The sequence below is a fragment of the Homo sapiens genome, chromosome 11, assembly GCF_000001405.40.
Source record: "Homo sapiens chromosome 11, GRCh38.p14 Primary Assembly".
Lineage (NCBI taxonomy): Eukaryota > Metazoa > Chordata > Mammalia > Primates > Hominidae > Homo > Homo sapiens.
In genome coordinates this window covers 100,932,957-100,952,644 of record NC_000011.10, presented here as the reverse complement: position 1 = coordinate 100,952,644, position 19,688 = coordinate 100,932,957, and the positions used below count along the sequence as shown (strand labels likewise).

Here is a 19,688-nt window from a genome sequence, read left to right as displayed (position 1 = left end):
TGAGCCAGGGTTTCTTTCATTGGTAGCACCTGCCATAGTCTTGACTTTTCAACAGGGTAGTGATTCTGTTTGGGTGAGCAAATTTGAATCCCCATGTGTGTGACAGCTAAAAATAAGTGTATTTTTCAATAAGTTTAGTTTATGCAAAAGTAGTAAGACCTTTTGAAATCACTATGCAATTGAGTGTATTTATTTAGAAGGTTTACAATACTTAATTTCAACATAATACTTAATCTGCATTTATAAAGTGATTTATTAGATTAAAAAAGTTGCTAGGTGTTGAAAAGATTATATTTGTCAGGATCACAAATCAGTCTAATTAGGGTGACTTTGAGAGAATAAAATTCACTATTTTGTCATCAGTTGATATGTCTTAAGGAAACTTTACTAATTAAATGTACAAATGGGAGAATTCTGTCAGATTTATGAAAACAAAATAAAGTGAAAACGACTTAGTTTTAAAAGTTAGTGCAATTACAAATAAGATCTGTATACTGATTAAAAACAGGCTTCAAGTAAAAATATGGCTTAAAATAAATCAAATATTAAAAATAAAACTTAAAAATAAAGCTTAAGATTCATAACTTTAAGCACTAAAGTAGAAGCTTGTAATATTTCTTCTGTAACCAAAAATCTTCCCTTGGGTAATAAAAGCCTACTGGTACTAATGAGAAAAATAAGAGCACATCTGTGCTCAGCACATGTCTCAGGAAAGGCCTGTATTGACTACTATGGAGAAGAGACGGGTTCTGTCACAAGGAGCTCAGAGTACTGGGTAGGAAACTAATATACCATACAAAAAGCCAGAGTGTGAGACATGATATAAACACACACACTCTAGCACTGCTATTTTTCTGAAACGCACACCATTTTATAATTATAATTGAAGGCACAGTGATGTTTCTGGTGGCTGACACTGCAGGATACCTATTTCCAGAAGAATGATTCTGTACTGCATGAAGATGCAGACTCCCTCTCCATCATAAGTACATTAGTTTTGGTGGTACATTTAATTAAGCATCAGTATATTCTGATCAACTTGACTATGCCACCATTCAGAAGCCCTACTCAACACTGTATATAGGTGCAATTGTCTTCCATGAAGGATTTGTCCTTGGGTAATTTGAATTTGAAAGGACTAACCTTATAGTGCATATCAACAATCAAACTAATGTTAGAAAACACATTTCACACTCTTCTCAAATGCAATTTATACAAAAGATTATTTTTTAGGTAATTATTTAGAATGAACATTCAGTACATACAAAACTCTCACCATTTGGTTAATGTATCTGTGATTAGATAAAAGTTGGCAATAAAGGATTTTATACTAATCACTTTCCTTGATTCCAATAAGGAAGTAAATGTGAGAATAAAAACTGGAAATAGTTTTTTAAAATATTATTTAAAAATAATTTTTAAATTATGTTATTTAATTATTGAAACATCTTTTATATCATGCATTTTCTTTTGATAATTTCTGAAGTTAATCACTAGAAAGCATTTAATTCAGATAAAATAATAGGTTTTTAATACATTCAATATTTATAACTTTCAAATGAGTGCTTTCCTAGTTTATATTTATTCCATTCTAACTCATATTTCCACAGCAATCTAAATGTCAGGGTTGGCCAGGCACAGTGGCTCATGCCTGTAATCCCAGCACTTTGGGAGACCAAGGTGGGAAGGTTAATTGAGGCCAATAGTTAGAGACCAGGCTGGACAACAAAATGAGACCTCATCTCTATTAAAAAATAAAAATAAAATAAATAAGAAAAGTAAATGTCAGGGTTATTGAGTTTGTTTGAAAAATAAATTTAGAAGCCATAAGACAAAATCCATTGCATTACATAAAACTTGGAATTGCTTTCAAAGTTATATACATAACCCTAGAAACAAATACACAAATTAATTTTAAATATCAAGTAAAATGACTATGTAAAGCACTTATGAAAATACCCTAAACTAACCACAGATAAAAGATAGCAAGAAGTTGGCAGGTAATTAAAGAGGATTCAGAACATGATGAAAAACATATAAACTGTGTTTATAAAGAATGGCTACAAACTAATGATTTACTAATAATACAGTAAAAACATCTTTTCCAACATATACCATGTGTAATGACAAGGTCCTTATATTTTACATTCTTAGCCACTATCCACTAAAACCAGCAAGAAGTGTTTATGTCTGCAGTCTTATACCTGTAAGAAAACTGGAGCAGAGAAAATAAGACAAAGAAGCTCTCCACTGTGTTATATATTTATATTGATATAGATAAATAAATACAGTATTTATATATAATTATATATGATTTAGCTTGATTATAATTATATATTTATTAATATATAATATATTTAATATATAATAAAAATATAATATAATTATATATTATATATTTTATATAAATAATTGAGCTAAATATCAACTTTCTCAAATCTCTATCAGAGATAAACCAAGGCATGTAAATAAGTAAACACCAAAGAAATAAAAATTAACTTTTGTTACTGTAACATCAGAAGTTTGTGGTTTTAACATGAGAAACATTTTAAATAAAAATTTCAAAGTTGCTGTACCATGAGATCAATGGTGTTATACTATTTCCCCAGAATACTTACAATCACCTAATGCTTTTGTGTTAAAAATAACTTCATGATAAAATTTTAAATAACTATTAAAATGACTTACTTTCTTCTTTCTTGCTTATAATGGCAGGCAGAGTATAAATCTAAAAAACAAAGGATGTCCATTAGTTACTTCCAGTTAATGACCCAGCACAAAAGATTAGCAAGGTGATATCTGTACACTAATAGATGAAAAGAGTGTCTTGATTTCAAGGTCCTACAACTGCTGTGTCCACAGCACCACCTGTGTACCATCAACCAACTTCCTTCCTGTGGTTCACCCACCCTCACTTCCCACTCCTTTTCCATCCGTGGCTGTGCTGCCCTGGACAAGGTTCTACCTCCATCTCATTTAAGCATCTTATTCTCTGCCCCAGTATGATGCATAATGAGCCTTTCTCAGGAAGTATCTCATAATGGATTTCCGGAATTGCTCCTTCTTCCAATTTCCTGCTTAGCCTGTTCTCAATGTACACAATCCTAACTTGTACATTGTTGGGCTAACAAACTATTCCCTAAATTTGCTCTAAGTCAGGGCTTCTCAACTATTTCTGGTAAAGAGTGAATTTTCTTTTAAATCTATTATTCACATTTGTGTAAAATATAATAAAATTGAAATAGAAAATAACAAAAAAATCAATGCAGAGTTCCAATTTTTAAATTAAATTTAACAGGCTTAAAATAACCCAAGTGGCTACAGGATTTTCTAAAGGCTGAATCACAATTTCTGTACTGATCTTACTGTGGACTGGTAACACAGTTTGAGGGAGGGTCTCAAAGTCTGAGGACCACACTTTGTTTGGCACTATTGCTGTACAGGTTCTTTGCCATCTAAAGAATGGTTCTCAAGTAACAGGATGGCGACTCTTATTTCCTCTGTGTGTTCACCCTCTACTGATCTAGTAACAGTGTTCTTTAAGAAAACAGACAGTGATGAATGATTCAGCCTCCTTTTTACGTAAGCCTTCCTATTTTTTGTAAGTAGACTATCATACAATTTCAAAATAACTATTAAAAATGGGGATATGTATGGAAGTGAAAATGTCAAGCCACAGGCAGTTTTATTAAGTTATACTTTTTAAAAATGGTCTTGATTAGAGAATCAGTTCTTACCCTGAACCTTGTTCATCACTCTAATCACATGCCTAGCACAGGCCTTGCAAAGACTGGGCATGCGATCATTATTAACTGAATAAGCTAACCTAATGGGTGGAGCCAAGGTGATGAGTGTAAGTAATTTTTTAAGAAGTAATTTTAGGGTTTTAAATTAGTCCCAAAAGTCCCCTTATAAAATAAGTCAGAAAGGTAGAGTTATGGGCCATGAGTGAGACTAGGAAACCATAAAAGTCTCTACTCCCCTGATTTCCTTTTTTAATATTTTCAATTATACTACAGGCAAAACATTGTATACTATGAAAAGAATTTCCATACATTATAATTATTAGGACAATAAAACCTAAATTATAGAATGTGTCATAGTCTTACCGGTTCCTTCCCATCCATGGCTTCAAGCCAGAGTTTCCTATTAGCTTCTGAGAAGGCCTGTAACGTGATGATCCCATGCCTATTTAAAAACAAATATTTTCTATATTTACACATTTACTACTTTTTAAATTCTCAGTTAACTAAAAAGATAAAATTTGAAGAAAAAAAGTTAAGAGAAAAGAGAAATGAAGACAGAGGAGAAAAACATAGGAATTTTTCTAAAAAAGAAAAAGACTGAAGTATAATACTTTCAGAAAAATCACTAGGCATGCAAAAAATGTTTTTAATTCTAATGATCACAGGTGATAAAATCATTAAGTGTTTTTGGTACAGGACAGTCTGAAGGAGACTAGTTTCAAACTATTTCCCTTGAAATGATCAAAAAGGATGAAAAAGTTACATTCTTCAAAGCCATCTATGAATTCCACAATATGAGAACTTGACCCTGATGTGGTACAGTCTAGTCACTAAAAACAATTACAATTAATATGGAACAATGTGGAAAGCCTCATATCATAACTAGGTAACAGGTAAAAAGACACTAAAACCAAAGCATTTCTCTGTACCATGATGACAATATTGAAATGAATTCATTTAAAAATAATTCTCTCCCATGCAGTCATTCTGAAATAGTTACTTGAGGATATACTTCAAGAAAGAAACAAAGACTAGGGAGAGGAAGGGAGAAAACTAGCATATGGAGGAAAAGATATAAAATATTAGAAACAAAGGAATTAACTTAGTTAAACAGAAAATTGAGGGATCTGTGAAGAACATTCAGATGGAAATTTTATTATAAATATTTTATAATTAAAAACCTGGAATGACAAATAATAACATACATCTCTTCTGCAAACAAGAACACAGATCATGAGAATCTTGAATATATATCAAGATAATCTGATGTTGGAGAATTTAAGCCAGTGTAGTAATACCAAAAATAAAATATTGAAAATCAGTATTTGTTGGATATTTACTATGTGACAGGCACTGTGTTATGTTTCCTTAATTCTCTCATTTAATCCTGAAAACAATTCTTTGAGGTGGGTACTTATTATCCTTAATTTAAAGATGAAAAAACCTAAGTACAGAGTTTAATAAAGTGCTCCAAGGTTATATAACCGGAATGTGTTAAGACAAAGCATTAACATGTTGGTATTTGTCTACATAGAAAATCCAGAAATATCTACACAAAACTATTAAAACTAATAAATAGTTCAGCAAATAGGTCAGATAAGAGAATTATATATAAATAAACTAACAGCCTCTTTATGCAGTAGTCTTAACCATTTAGGAAAACAAAATTCAACTCATAAAGAAGAATCCTATTCAAAACAACAATAAAAAGAAGGTACTCAAAAGTAAATTTGAAAAAAGATATGTAAAATATTCAAAAAGAGGTTAATTCCACACCCATTGAAGACTTTACTGCAACTTCAGTCAAAATCCCAAAAGATATTTTGAGAAACAAGGAGAAACTTAGTAAGTGGATCTTAAAAATCATAAGAACACAGAGCAAAAGAGTCAACACAGTTTACAGCAGCCTAGGAATACAGTCATTGCCCTACTAGATACAGGCAAACCTTGATGTATTTCTCTTTGCTTGATTGAGCTTTGCAGATACTGCATTTTTAACAAATTGATGGTTTGTTTGTGTCAACCCTGTGTTCTGCATGTCTATCAGCACCATTTTTCCAAGAGCGTTTGCTCACATCGTGTCTCTGTATCACATTTTGGTGATTCTTGCAATATTTGGAATTTTTCATTGTTATTATATCTATCATGTGATGTATGAACAGTGATCTTTGATATTACTATTGTCATTATTTTGGGGTGCCATTAACCATGTCCACATAAGATGGCAAACAGTCAATAAAAGTTGTGTGTGCCACTGCTCCACTGACTGGCCATTTCCCCATCTCTTTCCCTCCCCTTAGCTTCCCTATTCCCTGAGATACAACAATATTAAAATTAGTCCAATCAATAATCTCACAATGACCTCTAAGTGTTCAAGGGAAAGGAAGATTCACATGTCTCTCATGTTAAATCAAAAGCTATAAATGACCAAACTTAGTGAGAAAGACATGTTGAAACCCAAGATAGCCTAAAAACTAGGTCTCTTGTGCCAATCAGTTAGCCAAGCTGTGAATGCAAAGGAAAAATTATTAAAGGAAATTAAAAGTGCCACTCCAGTGAATACACAAACGCTAGGAATCAAAACAACCTTACTACTGACATGGGGAAAGTTCTAGTGGTGTGTATAGAAGATCAAACCAGCCATAACATTCTCTTAAGCCAATGCCTTTTCCACAGCAAGGCCCTGACTGTCTTCAATTTTATGAAGGCTGAGAGAGGTGAGTAAGCTGCAGAAAAAAAGTATGAACCTAGCAGAAGTTGGTTCATGATGTTTGAGGAAAGAAGCCATTTGCATAATATAAAAGTATAAGATGAAGCAGTAAGAGTTGATGTAGAAGCTGCAGCAAGTTATACAGAAGATCTAGCTACAATCATGGATGAAGGTGGCTACAGTAAACAACAGATTTTCAATGTAGATGAAATAGCCTTCTGTTGGAAGATGCCCTCATTTAAGACTTCCACAAATAGAAAGAAGTCACTATCTGGCCTCAAAGCTTCAAATAGGCTGACTCTTGTTAGAGGTTAATGTAACTGGTGACTTAAAGTCAGAGCCAATGTTCATATATCATTCTGCAAATCCTAGGGTTCTTAAAAATTATGCTAAATCTACTCTACCTGTGCTCTACAAATGGAACAATAAAGGCTGAATGACAGCACATCTGTTTACAGTAAGGTTTACTGAATATTTTAAGCCACTGTTGAGACCTTCTGATTAAAGAGGTTTATTTCTAAATATTACTGCCCATTGACAATGCAACTAGTCACCCAAGAGTTCTGATAGAGATTTAAATGGAGAATAATATATTCATGCCTGCTGACACAACATATATTATGTAGCACATGGATCAAGGAATAAGAGGAATAAGTTAGACTTCTGAGTCTTATTATTTAAGAAACACATTTCATTAGGCTTTCACGGCCATAAGTAGTGATTCCTCTAATGGATCTGGGTAAAGTACACTGAAAACCTTCTAGAAAGGATTCATCACTTTAGATGTCATTAAGAACATTTGTCCCTCGTGGGAGGAAGCCAAAATATCCACATTAACAGCAGTTTGAAAGAATTGATTCCAACTCTCAGGGATGAGTTGGAGGGGTTCAAGACTTCAGTGGAGGAAGTTACTGCAGATGTAGTGAAAATAGCAAAAAAGCTAGAATTAGAAGTGGAGCCTTCTAGAAAATGTGACTTTATTGCTGCAATCTCATAATAAAACTTGAAAGGACTAGTTGCTTCTTATGGATGGGCAAAGAAAGTGGTTTACTGAGATGGAATCTTCTCCGGGTGAAGATGCTATAAACGTTTTTGAATGACAACAACGGATTTAGAATATCATATAAACTTAGCTGACAGTGCAGTAGGGCAGGGTTTGAAAGGACTGACTCCAATTTTGAAAGACGCCCTACTGAGTAAAATGCTATCAAACAGCATTGCATGGTACAGAGAAATCTTTGTTGAAATGAAGATTCAATTGATGTGGCAAACTTTATTGCTGTCTCATTTTAAGAAAATGGCCACAGCCACCCCATCCTTCAGTAACCACCATGCTGATCAGTTAGCAGCTACCAACATCGAGGCAAGATCCTTCACCAGCAAAAAAATTACTACTCACTAAAGACTCAGATGACCATTCACATTACTTAAAATATTTTAAGGGATGTATATTTTTTACACATAATGCTATTGCACACTTAATGGACTGCAGTGTAGCATAAACATAACTTTTATATGCACCGAGAAACTCAGAAATTTCTGTGACTCAGTTTATTATGATATTCGCTTTATTACAGTGGTTTGGAACCTAACCTGCAATATCTCTGAGGTATGCCTGTAGCTATAGGCTGTAGTTTATGAGCATATATAGAAAGTCATCATATACAAAGGGTATACATGGATACACACAATAAGCTAGTGTATTTAGAATATTGTGGCACTAATGCAGGAGAAGAAAGATAGATCATGGATTACAGAGCAGAGAGCAAGAAGCATACCCATTCTTATTGTAAACTTAAATTATACACTTAGATTCACGACATTTATATCTCTTCCAATACTTTGGGCTAAGAATACCCGGAACAGTGCTTTGCACACAGGAGGCATCCTGGAGGCATTAAACTTAGTTGGCTGAAAGAAGCTTATAGTATTCCCACCTGCATCTTATTCCTTAGAAGCAAGGCCACCAAGCTTCCAAAGCCCACCAAAAGGCTGATCCTGGAGCCATGAAATATGCCATTGGATTCCTTCATGATGATGGGGACCATGAGGCCACTACATGCACTTTCTCCTAATACAGTCATTTATATTGATTTTTCAGATTCTGCTTTGAGTGATGCTACTGTTTTCTAGCATCATGGATCTGATTTGCTTTTTCGAAAGCATCATGTAATAACAACATGAAAGAAAGAGATAAACATGTATACTGTTTTTTAAAAGACTAAAAAACACTTGAATGCTGTTTCATGTTTATATTTAAATACAGAAAGAGACACCGTTTAGCTTATGAAAAAAATAAAGTGAAAAGAACAGCTCAAACCTTTCAACTACTTCTATGTCAAAGCAGAATCGTTTGTCAATTGAATCTGTCTTTCGTCGGATACAAGATTTTAATTTAAACATTTCCGGTGAGCTAGTAACAAGGCCATTCTGAAACAAGAAGAGTACCACAGTATTAACATGCTGACAAGTGAATTGAAATATATTAAATATGTGAGCTCAAGTTGCCACATTAAAATGTTTAACAGTATAGGTTATGTATAAAGGTCACAATCATACCCTGTCTTTTTTTATTCCTGATGTTAGCTGTCCGATCATAATACATAAAACCATTTAATTAATGGCATATGCATGTTTTATTTAAAAGAATTATGTAACATGCCTGTCCAGTAACCTTCAACATATTTACTTACAATGTTAAATTATACTATAATGTACAATCCCTCAATTCTTAGATTTAGAAAACGTATGAAGTTACACAGTCACTTAACATCACAATTGGATATACAGAGTGCTTGTTAGGATACATTTGGTGCTCTTAATCAAAACTCCCTGGATTGCAAAGAGATTAGTATCATATGTGTGTCTTTGTATTAGAGCCTTAAATGATAACTAGCTCAGGTTTACAAGAGAGCTACGGAAATAATATAGTTCCAGTATATACATGATATAATAGTATTGCTACCATGTATATCAGGTTGGTGCAAAAGTAATTATGGTTTTCCCATTAAAAGTAATGGGAAAAAAAGCAATTACTTTTGCACCAACCTAATACAATGTGATTGTTTTGCTGGTAACCCACTGCTACACCGCTACTAAAACTGACTCTCTGGACAAGATCCAACATAGGCCACATTCATAGGAATTCTCTTTTGTCACTGAGATGCCAGTCTATGTTAAGGGGAACATTTACAGAATGTATGGTTAATTCTATCTTTGGCTACAAATGTCATCAATTGATTAATAGAACTTTGGCTTGGTCTACTTACATTATTAACTCACTGTCACATAAGTTGGATTTACAGTAGTAACTATTAGAGTAGAAACTAGGTGTGTTATGGCACTTAGTAACTTCCCAGGATGGTAGCAACTAAGGTTTCTTTTTCTCTGGTTATGTTCTCCTTTATTTTATGTCTTTCAGTTTGAATTATTAGACTCTGATGAATGCCCAAGTACAATAAGTTTCAACTGACATATTTGAGTATGTGTCTAAGTTAGATCAACATTTACCTCTGCCATGATCTATGCCACTAATTGGGCGAGGCACTTACTTTATACTAACTTTATTTCCTAATCTGTTAAAATAAGGCTGGACTAATTATCTCTAGTGTAACTCCCAGCTTCAGCGTGCTCAGATTGTGACCTAATTAATTCAAAAGTTCAATCATTTGCCATATTCATACTTTAACTCACAAGAAGATTATATGCCACAGACAATAAAGCTCTCTGCAGCATTTCCTCAAACAAAGTACATTGTATTCTATACTGTTCACTAGCCATGTGAGACCTTCAGTGACCAATTTACTTTTCGGGTAAATGAGCATCTATTGGGTTCTTCTGAGAAAGCTTGTTAGCCAGCATTTTGGTTAACAGTATGCAGTGCAGAAGGGGACAAGGCATGCAGGGGCAAATGTAGCCTCCCTCAGAGGCCACTCAGGGGAAAGATACAGAATCCTTGAGCCTGTTCCAGCCACTGACAGTCCCTTCCTGGGCTGCTAGCCAACCAACAGCATAGACAAATAACTCTGCTGCCGGAAATGTGAGATGACACCTCTGTAATCTACTGAAGGATCCCTACATTTAACTCGACTGCTTATAAATATGCCATGGCCAAGTTAAAGGAAGACCCTGGCTACTCTTTTCAAGTCATTCACGTCACAAAAATGAGAGAAAACCTTTGACCTTCTATTTTTTTGTAAATGTGTACATGTTAACTAGAGAAACAAATGTGATTTTTTTGTTTTAATTCCATTACTTAAATAATGAACAGTTTAAAAAACAAACAGAAAACAAAACTAACTCACCATTTTCCCACTGGATTTCATTTCTGAAACACTCATTGTAAATGTTTTACTTCCCTTATCATATGTACAATAATGTTTAATCCATGTAAAACCAAGCGGTCCTAATGTAAGGAAACAAAAAAATTTCAGATTTTGTTAATAAATGATTTGTATCAAAGTTTGCACATTCTCCAGTGCTATGATATACAACCGATTATCTCTCCTATACCATGCTAGTTTGTAACATTTACTGTGCATGAGAAAGAACAGAGGGACAGCGGTATAGGGTAGAGTGTCTTAGAATCAGACAACGTGGCTCTGCTTGCAGCTCTGACACCGACTTTGTAAAACTTGTGAGTTACTTTGGATCTGAACTTCAGTTATCCCACCTGAAAAAGTGGTATACTTGTACTCCATAGAGGTAGGAAGAATGAGGAATGAGTCCGAGTTGTTTAAAATGGTGTCCTTACTTCTACCTGTATACTTTACTCTCATAACTGTCAGAAATATAGTGTTAAAAATTTAGCCAGGCCATTTCACTCCTTTGTTCAGAACCCTCTAGTGCCTTCCCATCTTACCCCCGATAAAAATCAAAGAGCCTATTATCCACAAGGTTCCAAGTGAGTGGCCTCCCACATTCTTTTCTCCATCTCACATCCCACTGCTTTCTGCCTTGTGCACTCAGCTCCAGCTACACTGCCCGCCTTGCTGGTCTTTGAACACAATGGAGGCATTCCTACCCAAGGGCATTTGTAGTTGCTGTTTCCCAGGCCTGGACTACTTTTCCTTTAGATACCTGCATGACTTGCACTGTTACCTCCCTTCAGGCCTTTTCCTAAATGTCACTTTCATAATATGGCCTTTCCTGGAGAGATACCTAAGATCTAAACACCCTCACCTTAATACTTATCTCTCTTTCTTGCTTTCATTTCTTCTTAGCGGTTATCACTGTCTGAAATATGATTTGTTTTACTAATTTAAGCCATTTATTGTGTGTCTCTGCCACAAGATTTTATGAATCTATGTGAGCAGGAACATGTGATGTTCAACTGACTAGAATATGAGTTCTTAATCCTTACAACAGAGCCAGACAGATAGTTGTCAGTCAATATTGACAAATGAATAATGAATAAAGGAATGAATCACGCATCTAAGACTTCACTAAGTTCTAAGACTCTACTGACCTTAGAGTTATTTCCTCTTACTCCTAATCTGGAAAAAACAAGTTCAAATTACTCTTTAAAATGAAAATAATTTCCACTATTTATATGAGAAGAAACTTGTATGTGTAATGTTCACTTTCTTTTCCCCCAAAAATACCATGTAACCCTTTCCCATAGCACCCATGTTATTGTCCAGTATTCTCCTTAGGGAATTTATCAGGGCGTAGAATGCATTGGTAGTTCAATGTTTCCATGACCAAGGTGGAAGACCTTCAGTTTTCCCATAGGGAAGCCAAGTATCCTGCACCCAAACACCATAGTGGACTGAGTGGATCGAAAATGGAGCTTGTTTTCTACATATGAATAGCATCTCCATCCAGGGACCCATCTTGCTTAACATCTGAATTTTTCTAGCAGCTACTATGCACATGTTTTTGCTGGCTTCATTTCAGAACCATGTTTAAAAGAAAGAAATTGAAATTTAAAAAAGTACCTCTTGAGAAAAGTGTTTCATGAGCCATTTAATTTTTTTCTTTAATAATAATGCCCTCGGTATCGAGTTTAATACTTAAGCCACTCCAGATTTTAAAATTACAGGGTGCAGTCATATACTTTATAATCACAAAAGATTATTACAATTAACTGCAATTCCATTTGGGGACCATTTCACACTATAATACTTAATAATACTTGTTGATAATTCTGTTACATGTGATGTAAAATACCTAAAGACTTACGAGCTAATTAGTGGAAAGTGACTGGATAGAAATTCTCGTATGTAGTGACTTCATTATGTAGGTAGCAATATATGAAGCAATATTAGCTATAATTTTAAAATATAGCTGCTGCAATGCTCTGACATTTTAAACCAAAGACCCTTTTTCCCGCCTCCATCTGAAGTTCAGGACCTCCTGCATTTAATCCTCGAGTTTGCTGCAAACACATGCTGCTTTCTTTAAAGTTGACTGGCACTAGGCCAGGGCAGATGTTCTTAGACAAGCAATTCTACAGTTCCCAAAAATGTCTGGGAAAATAAAAATAGATTACAGCTCTAAAGTTGCAAAATAAAAGATGTTTAATTATTTTACCCAGTAATCATTTAAGGTTGCTGAGATGAATATTTGCAGTGCGGAAGGGGAATTAACATTCATCGAATACCTACTAAGTGCCCATATTTTATCTAAGAACCTTTTATATCAGACATTATAAAGAACATTTTAAGAAAACTGAGCCTGTGACCTACAGATGGCAATACTTTCATCAATAGGGCATGTGACTGAAGTTGTTCTTTTTAGAGAAATGATATTTTCAAGCTATTTTAGAATTAAATGAGATAAATATAAATTACAAAGAATAGTAAGAACCCAATAGTAAGCATAGTATTATTCTTATTGACACTACCGAGAATAGAGACATTTTACATATGACATCTCTAATTCTTGCAATATCATTATGACATGGGTTTAAATCCCTCTCTTTTATAAATAAGGCAAGACTGAGCTCAGAAAACTATTGGCACAAGTCACAGGTCAGCACAGGCATGGAATCCCAATATAGCTCTAACTCTGGAACCCCTGGCTCTTCCGGTTACACTGAAGTCTAGCAGAATGTGATTTAATGCATGCCTCGAGGTGGGTAACATAAACACCACATGCTCAGGTAGAGTGGAACTCTGTGTCCAAACAATGAGCTAAGCCTACCCCATCACATCCATCTCCATTTATCACACAATTTATGGCTTTGATATTTATTTATTTGATATTGATCACTGGCTGCTAATTGTATAAGTGTGTCTTACATTTTCAACTACAGAATAAAAATCTTGAAGCCAAATATTTATCTCATTTTTGTCCCCCACAGAACTTATCCACCCAGTGATAGCAAGTGCACAATCGATACATCTTAGTAAACTGGTTAGATTGTTTTAATTGTAAACGCTTTCAAAGATCCCAAGTTAGAAGGGGCTTTGGATATTTGCTCCTCATATAAAATAATTCCAAAAGCATATAAATATATTCCTTTTTCTTTATATCCCTTGGCAAAGGGAATAGGAGAAGATGATAGGTGGGAACAGACAGGAGGAAGGGATTATAATGAGGCAAGAAAGAACTTCTGAAGGTGATAAATATGTTCATTATGTTGTAGTGTGGTGATGGCTTCACAGGTGAATGAATGTGGCAAAATTTATCAAACTGTATGTTTTAAGCAGGTGCAATTAATTTATGCCAATTAGACCCAATAAAGCTATAAAAATAATGCAGCAGATGCAGATCAAATCAAGATGGAAATTGTCTTGGGGGAGGAAAAATATCAACAAAGAGAGTGCTAATAAGGAGAAATGAACTGTGAGACCCTCCAATTCAGACACTGCTAAGGGTCCATCAAAACAAGGACACAACCAAAGAAGCATTTTAGAAGGATCTGCGGGAAGCACTGTAGAAGACGCATTAGATGATGGGCAAGCCTGGAGGTAAAGGGTGAACAGTTAGGAGGTCACTGCAAGGGTCTCACCTGGGCGAAGGCAGTTGAGATGGAGAGAAGGTATGGAATCAAAGGATATCAAGAAGACAGAATAGACAGGTTTGTCCCAAGGCTACAGAGAAACACTGGTACTAAGGATGGATTGCCTTGACTTATGTAGCCTAGGAGAGTGAGGGGTGCCATTAAGAGAGATTAAAAAAAAAAAAATCAGAGAAGAGGTCAGTACCACAAAGGGCTTTATCATCAGTCTAGAATGACCCAGAGAAGTTAAGCATCTTAGAACAAAAGATACCATCATCAGGTAAGCGCATAAAACACTGCGCTTAGTCCATCCATGTAACCCCCAAATTATTGAAGGGCCTATGCTTATAGACTGACCCAAATGTCCAACAGCTTGACAATAGGTAGGCAAACCATGGTTCCAACCAGTGGGTGCACTCACTACCAAGTAGGACCGAATATGATATATTTGAAGATTATGTACAAAATAATATTGCAAGCTAATCTAAATCTTTCCTGTTTAGAATAAAATATTGTGTGCCCACAAAGATTTCAGCAAGTGTGTAACACCTAGAAAAGTATTCAAGAAATAAAACATAATCAGACCATAATGAATAAAAAATCCAAGGATGGTACCTCCTCTACCACTTTCACGTTTACTGCCCTCACTGGCAACAAATTCTTCCAGTTGGACAAATATTTTATTGGTAGAAAATGTGAGCTCCTCTCAATGTACTGTCACATGAAGGCTCTCAAACCTGTACAAAATCATTTAAATACTCAAAAATTTCCTTAGAGTCCTTTCCAGGCTTGTGTAAAAAACATAACAATAAAAAAAAAATAAAAATTTCCTTAGAGTCCTAAGTGAAATCTATATACCCTACTGACAAGCCAAGGGATTGGTAATTTTTCATGAACTGGGGGGAGGGTAAAAGCTACTTATTATGCGCTAACTATAGAGTACCCAGGCAGATCACTAGTTTTATCATGTTTAGATATGAAAACAGTAGACTGGCCAAGGTAGGTAGTTATGAGAGAGAAACATTCTAAAACCCAGATCTCTTGAGCCAGTGTTCCTCTATCATCAAGTCCATGCAGTAATAAATGTTTGCAGAGTCTGCTGGATCAAATCAAATTTGTGTGTGTCCTGCTCTCCAACAAATGAGCATCACTTAATCATGTTGCACATACAGTATATCAAAAGCCTTTCACATTGGTCCACGATGGGCTGGAAACTCACACACAACTGTTTCTTCACCAAAAACAGCACGAGAATGATGCCTTAGGGCATATCCGGTTTGAAAGCGTGAATGTAGTCAAAATAGTCCAACTAATTCCACTTAATGACAAGTAACATGCACAAAAAACTCCAGTTATACAAGTCCGAATGGCTTTTTAATATTTTTGTGAGAAAAATGTCCTTAGTGTGAGGCAATTATAATAGTGCTCTATTGGCTTTGGTACTTATTTCCGAACCTCAGGAAGTAAAGAGCGCCAATTTGACATTACCATGATTACCAATTATATGCCTGAAAACTGACAGGGCACAAAATTAAATAAAATAATGCTGCCAGAGGGTAAAACTATTATCACAGTCACCAGGATGATTCATGTCAGTAAAGGCTTTGGCTTGCAATTTTCCATGAAACTTTAAGTTGAGATTAAGTATCACAATTAAATGCTAAAACTGAACGCATGTTATGGTATGAGTGAAGACTGTAAGTCCCAAGTTCAACAATATGCCAACTTAGATATCCTGATGGCAAAATGCGGAAAAACGTCCTCACTTTGGTTGTGGTGGGGGGAAAGTAGATATAAAGCTATAAGAAATTTCAGTCCTCCTACTTGAAGGAAATACTACTAACCAAGTCACATCTCATGATCGTGGCTAAGTCATAAGAGACGTGAAATTATGTCTTTGTGACTCACGTTTCTCCTGGACATACAGATAGCCTTCCATCGTCCACTGGCTGGGTGGTCTGTAGTCCTGGTTAGCAGATTTCATCCTTTGCATCAACCGCTCTACCTCTTGTCGAGTACTTTCAAAATTATTCCTTGTCTTAAGTAAACAGAAACAATAATTTCAGTCATTATTTTCTACCAAGTTTCAGCAACATCCAGACTAATATTTTGTTTTGCTTTTATTTATTTTTGAGACAGAGTATCACTCTGTCAACCAGGTGCAATTATGGCTCACTGCAGCCTTGACCTCCAGGGCACAAGTGATCCTCCTGCCTCAGTCCCCACAAGCAGCTGGGACTGTAGGCACACACCACCACACTGGCTAATTTTTTGTAGAGATGGGGTCTTACATGTTTCCCAGGCTGGTCTCAAATTCCCGGGCTCAAGCAATTTGTTCACCTCCCAAAGTGCTGGGATTACAGGTGTGAGCCACCTGACCGGCCCAGAAAAATGTTTCAAAACTGCAAATTGCACAAAGATGACCTTGATTCTTCTGGCAGTATTCACCACATCTATGTCTTTGTGATGTTGGGTCCCAAGGTCTGAGTTGAACTGATTTAGTGAAAACTTGTCTGAATGACCTTCTGCATGTTTCTCTTTGAATCTCTCTCTCTCTCTCTCTGTGTGTGTGTGTGTGTGTGTGACCTTCTTCCTATTTTCACACTCTAACATTATTACTTAGGGGGTAAACTATGGCAATTAAAAAAATATAGGATGCACTACATAAAATTTGAATTCCCTAAATACCTAAGGTAAAAAACAGATACATAGGGACTTAGTTTCTTTTGAGGGAAAAAAACAAAATAAATTCATATACTTTTGATACATGTGGCATAGAACAAGTCAAGAAAAGAAGTTTGTTACCACAGTTCCAAAGGCTATTTTTGAAGAAACATCACGTAGCTTGGTTTACTAGCAAAGGTATTATTAAGAGGTGAGTGTATAAATTAACTCATAAAAATCAATAGGTTTCCAAGTTCTAACTTCTTCTGTTGCAAGAAATAGATTACTCACTTTAAATCAAGTTTATTTAAGCTATAGGAAGAATCAGACTTTTCTCTATGAATACCTCTTTTGCATTACCTCACAAATATGTTTCTGAAGATACAATAATCACTACCACCTAAATCTAAGGAGTTTATTCCCCATTTTAAAAAAAAAAAAATCTCAAAATTAGGAAAATTTTCTTGTCACTTTCACTATTTTTGTCTTTCAAACATAAGGGTCTAATTTTTTTTTCTCCAATTCCTTACTTCTCTCCTGTTCCTGAATCCTAGGAATCTTAATGTAATTTTATTTAATGTGGAAGTAAATCATAAAAATACGTCAGCTTTTATAATTTTCGCTTTTAATAGTAACTGTAAAAGCCTAAATACATTCCATATGGAAAAACAATAGAATGAATTAAAGGTGAAATTGATTCTGCTAGAAAATCTAAGTCAAATAAAAGCTAAAACTCAAAACACAAGGGAATAAATCCCCTTACATATTTCTTATGGGACATTCTAACTCTGTAGTTTTATTTACTGGACATTTCCACAACAGCAAGAACCAGATAAGCAGAAAAACATACACTTTGTAGAAAATTAAGTGAAGGTTTTCCAAATGATTTGGGCTATATAGTACTTGGCAGTCAGGGTTTCAGTTATAGTAAAACCTCAACAATTAAGACATCATTATTTGTCAGGTTTGATAATGTGAAATAGGTTGGCTCAACTTTTGGGTGTGTTTTTATTTCAATGCAAGTGTTGCTCAGCATTTGAACATCAGAATTTGTATAGCTATGCAATCAGAGACTAAAAGGATTCATTAGACAACTTTACAAAATAAATTCTGATAGAAATAGGTGGCCTGTATGGAAATAATTCTCACTTTTAAAAAATTTTTTATTTTGTATTTATTTTTTCTTATTTTTTTTTCAGGTTAGACGGGTAATATGCTGAGATTGTAACAAGGTTCAGAGGGTGGCATGTCTCACACACATGCGTGAACACCCAAACATCATGCCCATGAACTACAAAAGGATCTCTCACTTATGTTTTAAAGCAGTTATTTTGAATGCCTCGAAACCACATTCAAACCTGTTATTTGAAAATAATAAACAGCACATATTTTATATTCAATTTCAGAGAAAGATGAGATCTTTGTTATTAAAGTACAATCCTTCATTTCACAAATAAAGAAATTTTGCTGTCTTAAAAAAGAGACTTCTCAGGCTAGGCACGGTGGGTCACACCTGTAATCCCAGCACTTGGGAGGCCGTGGCGGGTGGATCACCTGAGGTCGGGAGTTCGAGACCAGCCTGACCAACATGGTGAAACCCCGTCTCTACTAAAAATACAAAATTAGCCAGGTGTAGTGGTGCATGCCTGTAATCCCAGCTATTTGGGAAGCTGAGGCAGGAGAATTGCTTGAACCCAGGAGGTGGAGGTTGCGGTGAGCCGAGATCATGCCATTGCACTCCAGCCTGGGTGACGAGCGAAGCTCCATCTTTAAAAAAAAAAAGACTTCTCTAAGGTCTTATTTCCTTATTTCCAGTATTTTCTTTTCTAGTTTTCTTGAGGTATAATTGACAAATAAAAATTGTATAGTTAACATGTACAATGTTATGTTTTAATACATGTATACATTATGAAATTACCACAATCAAGTTAATTAATATATCAATCACCACAGTTACCATCTGTGTATGCTGAGAACATTTAAGACCTAAACTCTCAATAAATTTCAAGTATTCAATACAGTGTTATTACCTAGAGCCACCATACTGCAAATTAGCTCTCCAAACTTACTCATCCTGCATCACCCAGTAAATTAACAAGAACACTGGATGAAGGCAAAAGTTAATAAACTTTCAGGTGTCTCCAACTGGGTAATATTTATTTTTATAAAATTTGCTAGTATAAATTTTTCTAACTAAGATTAGGGTTTTGTGGGTTGTATTTTCCACTAGCAGCTAGAAAAAAATTGTAATTAGTTGCCCTGTGAAATCAGATTTGCAGATTTGCTGAGAGACAGTAAGAACAGGTATACTCTTACATTCTGCAAGTTGAACTGCAGCTGTTGCTTATACGGTGCAAATTCCTGGGCAAGTTCATATCCCTCATGGTAAAAAGTAAATAAGCCCTGAAGAAATGACAAAAGCTGCAAAGATAAAGAGATAAAGAAACCATGAAAATGTGTTTTAATGATCATTTAATGATATAAAATAGGGAGAAAATTATATTTCATTATAATTCCTCAAACTAATACATTTTCAATGGCTTTGGCAAGGCAGGCAATAGATTTACGATTATAAAACAGAAACCACAAAAGGATTTTTATTTCCTTTTTGGTAGACAGT

General features: G+C 35.0%; 1 protein-coding gene and 1 non-coding gene across 6 annotated transcripts in view, besides 1 other annotated feature; both read right to left on the bottom strand.

Moving 5' to 3' along the window:
- Positions 1-19,688, bottom strand: part of ARHGAP42 (Rho GTPase activating protein 42) — a 306,654-nt gene that overhangs the window by 41,297 nt on the left and 245,669 nt on the right. For all 5 annotated transcript variants that reach the window (NM_001367945.1, NM_152432.4, XM_011542616.3 and 2 more), the window contains 6 exons: positions 19,385-19,489; positions 16,313-16,442; positions 10,761-10,861; positions 8,777-8,886; positions 4,110-4,188; positions 2,689-2,728 (listed from right to left, as the gene is read on the bottom strand). In NM_001367945.1, the coding sequence (NP_001354874.1) occupies positions 2,689-2,728; positions 4,110-4,188; positions 8,777-8,886; positions 10,761-10,861; positions 16,313-16,442; positions 19,385-19,489 (565 nt within the window). The remainder of the gene's footprint in view (positions 1-2,688; positions 2,729-4,109; positions 4,189-8,776; positions 8,887-10,760; positions 10,862-16,312; positions 16,443-19,384; positions 19,490-19,688) is intronic.
- Positions 851-1,020: an enhancer, noted in NCBI's record as "experimental_18498 CRE fragment used in MPRA reporter constructs". NCBI's record gives its function as "activates a minimal promoter by MPRAs in K562 erythroleukemia cells, with activity observed for both the introgressed and non-introgressed 11:100822441 variant alleles {active_cell/tissue: K562}" and the evidence as "EXISTENCE:reporter gene assay evidence [ECO:0000049][PMID:34662402]".
- Positions 18,267-18,371, bottom strand: SNORD13I (small nucleolar RNA, C/D box 13I). Its single transcript, NR_145747.1, has one exon. It is a non-coding gene; the product is annotated as a small nucleolar RNA, C/D box 13I (small nucleolar RNA).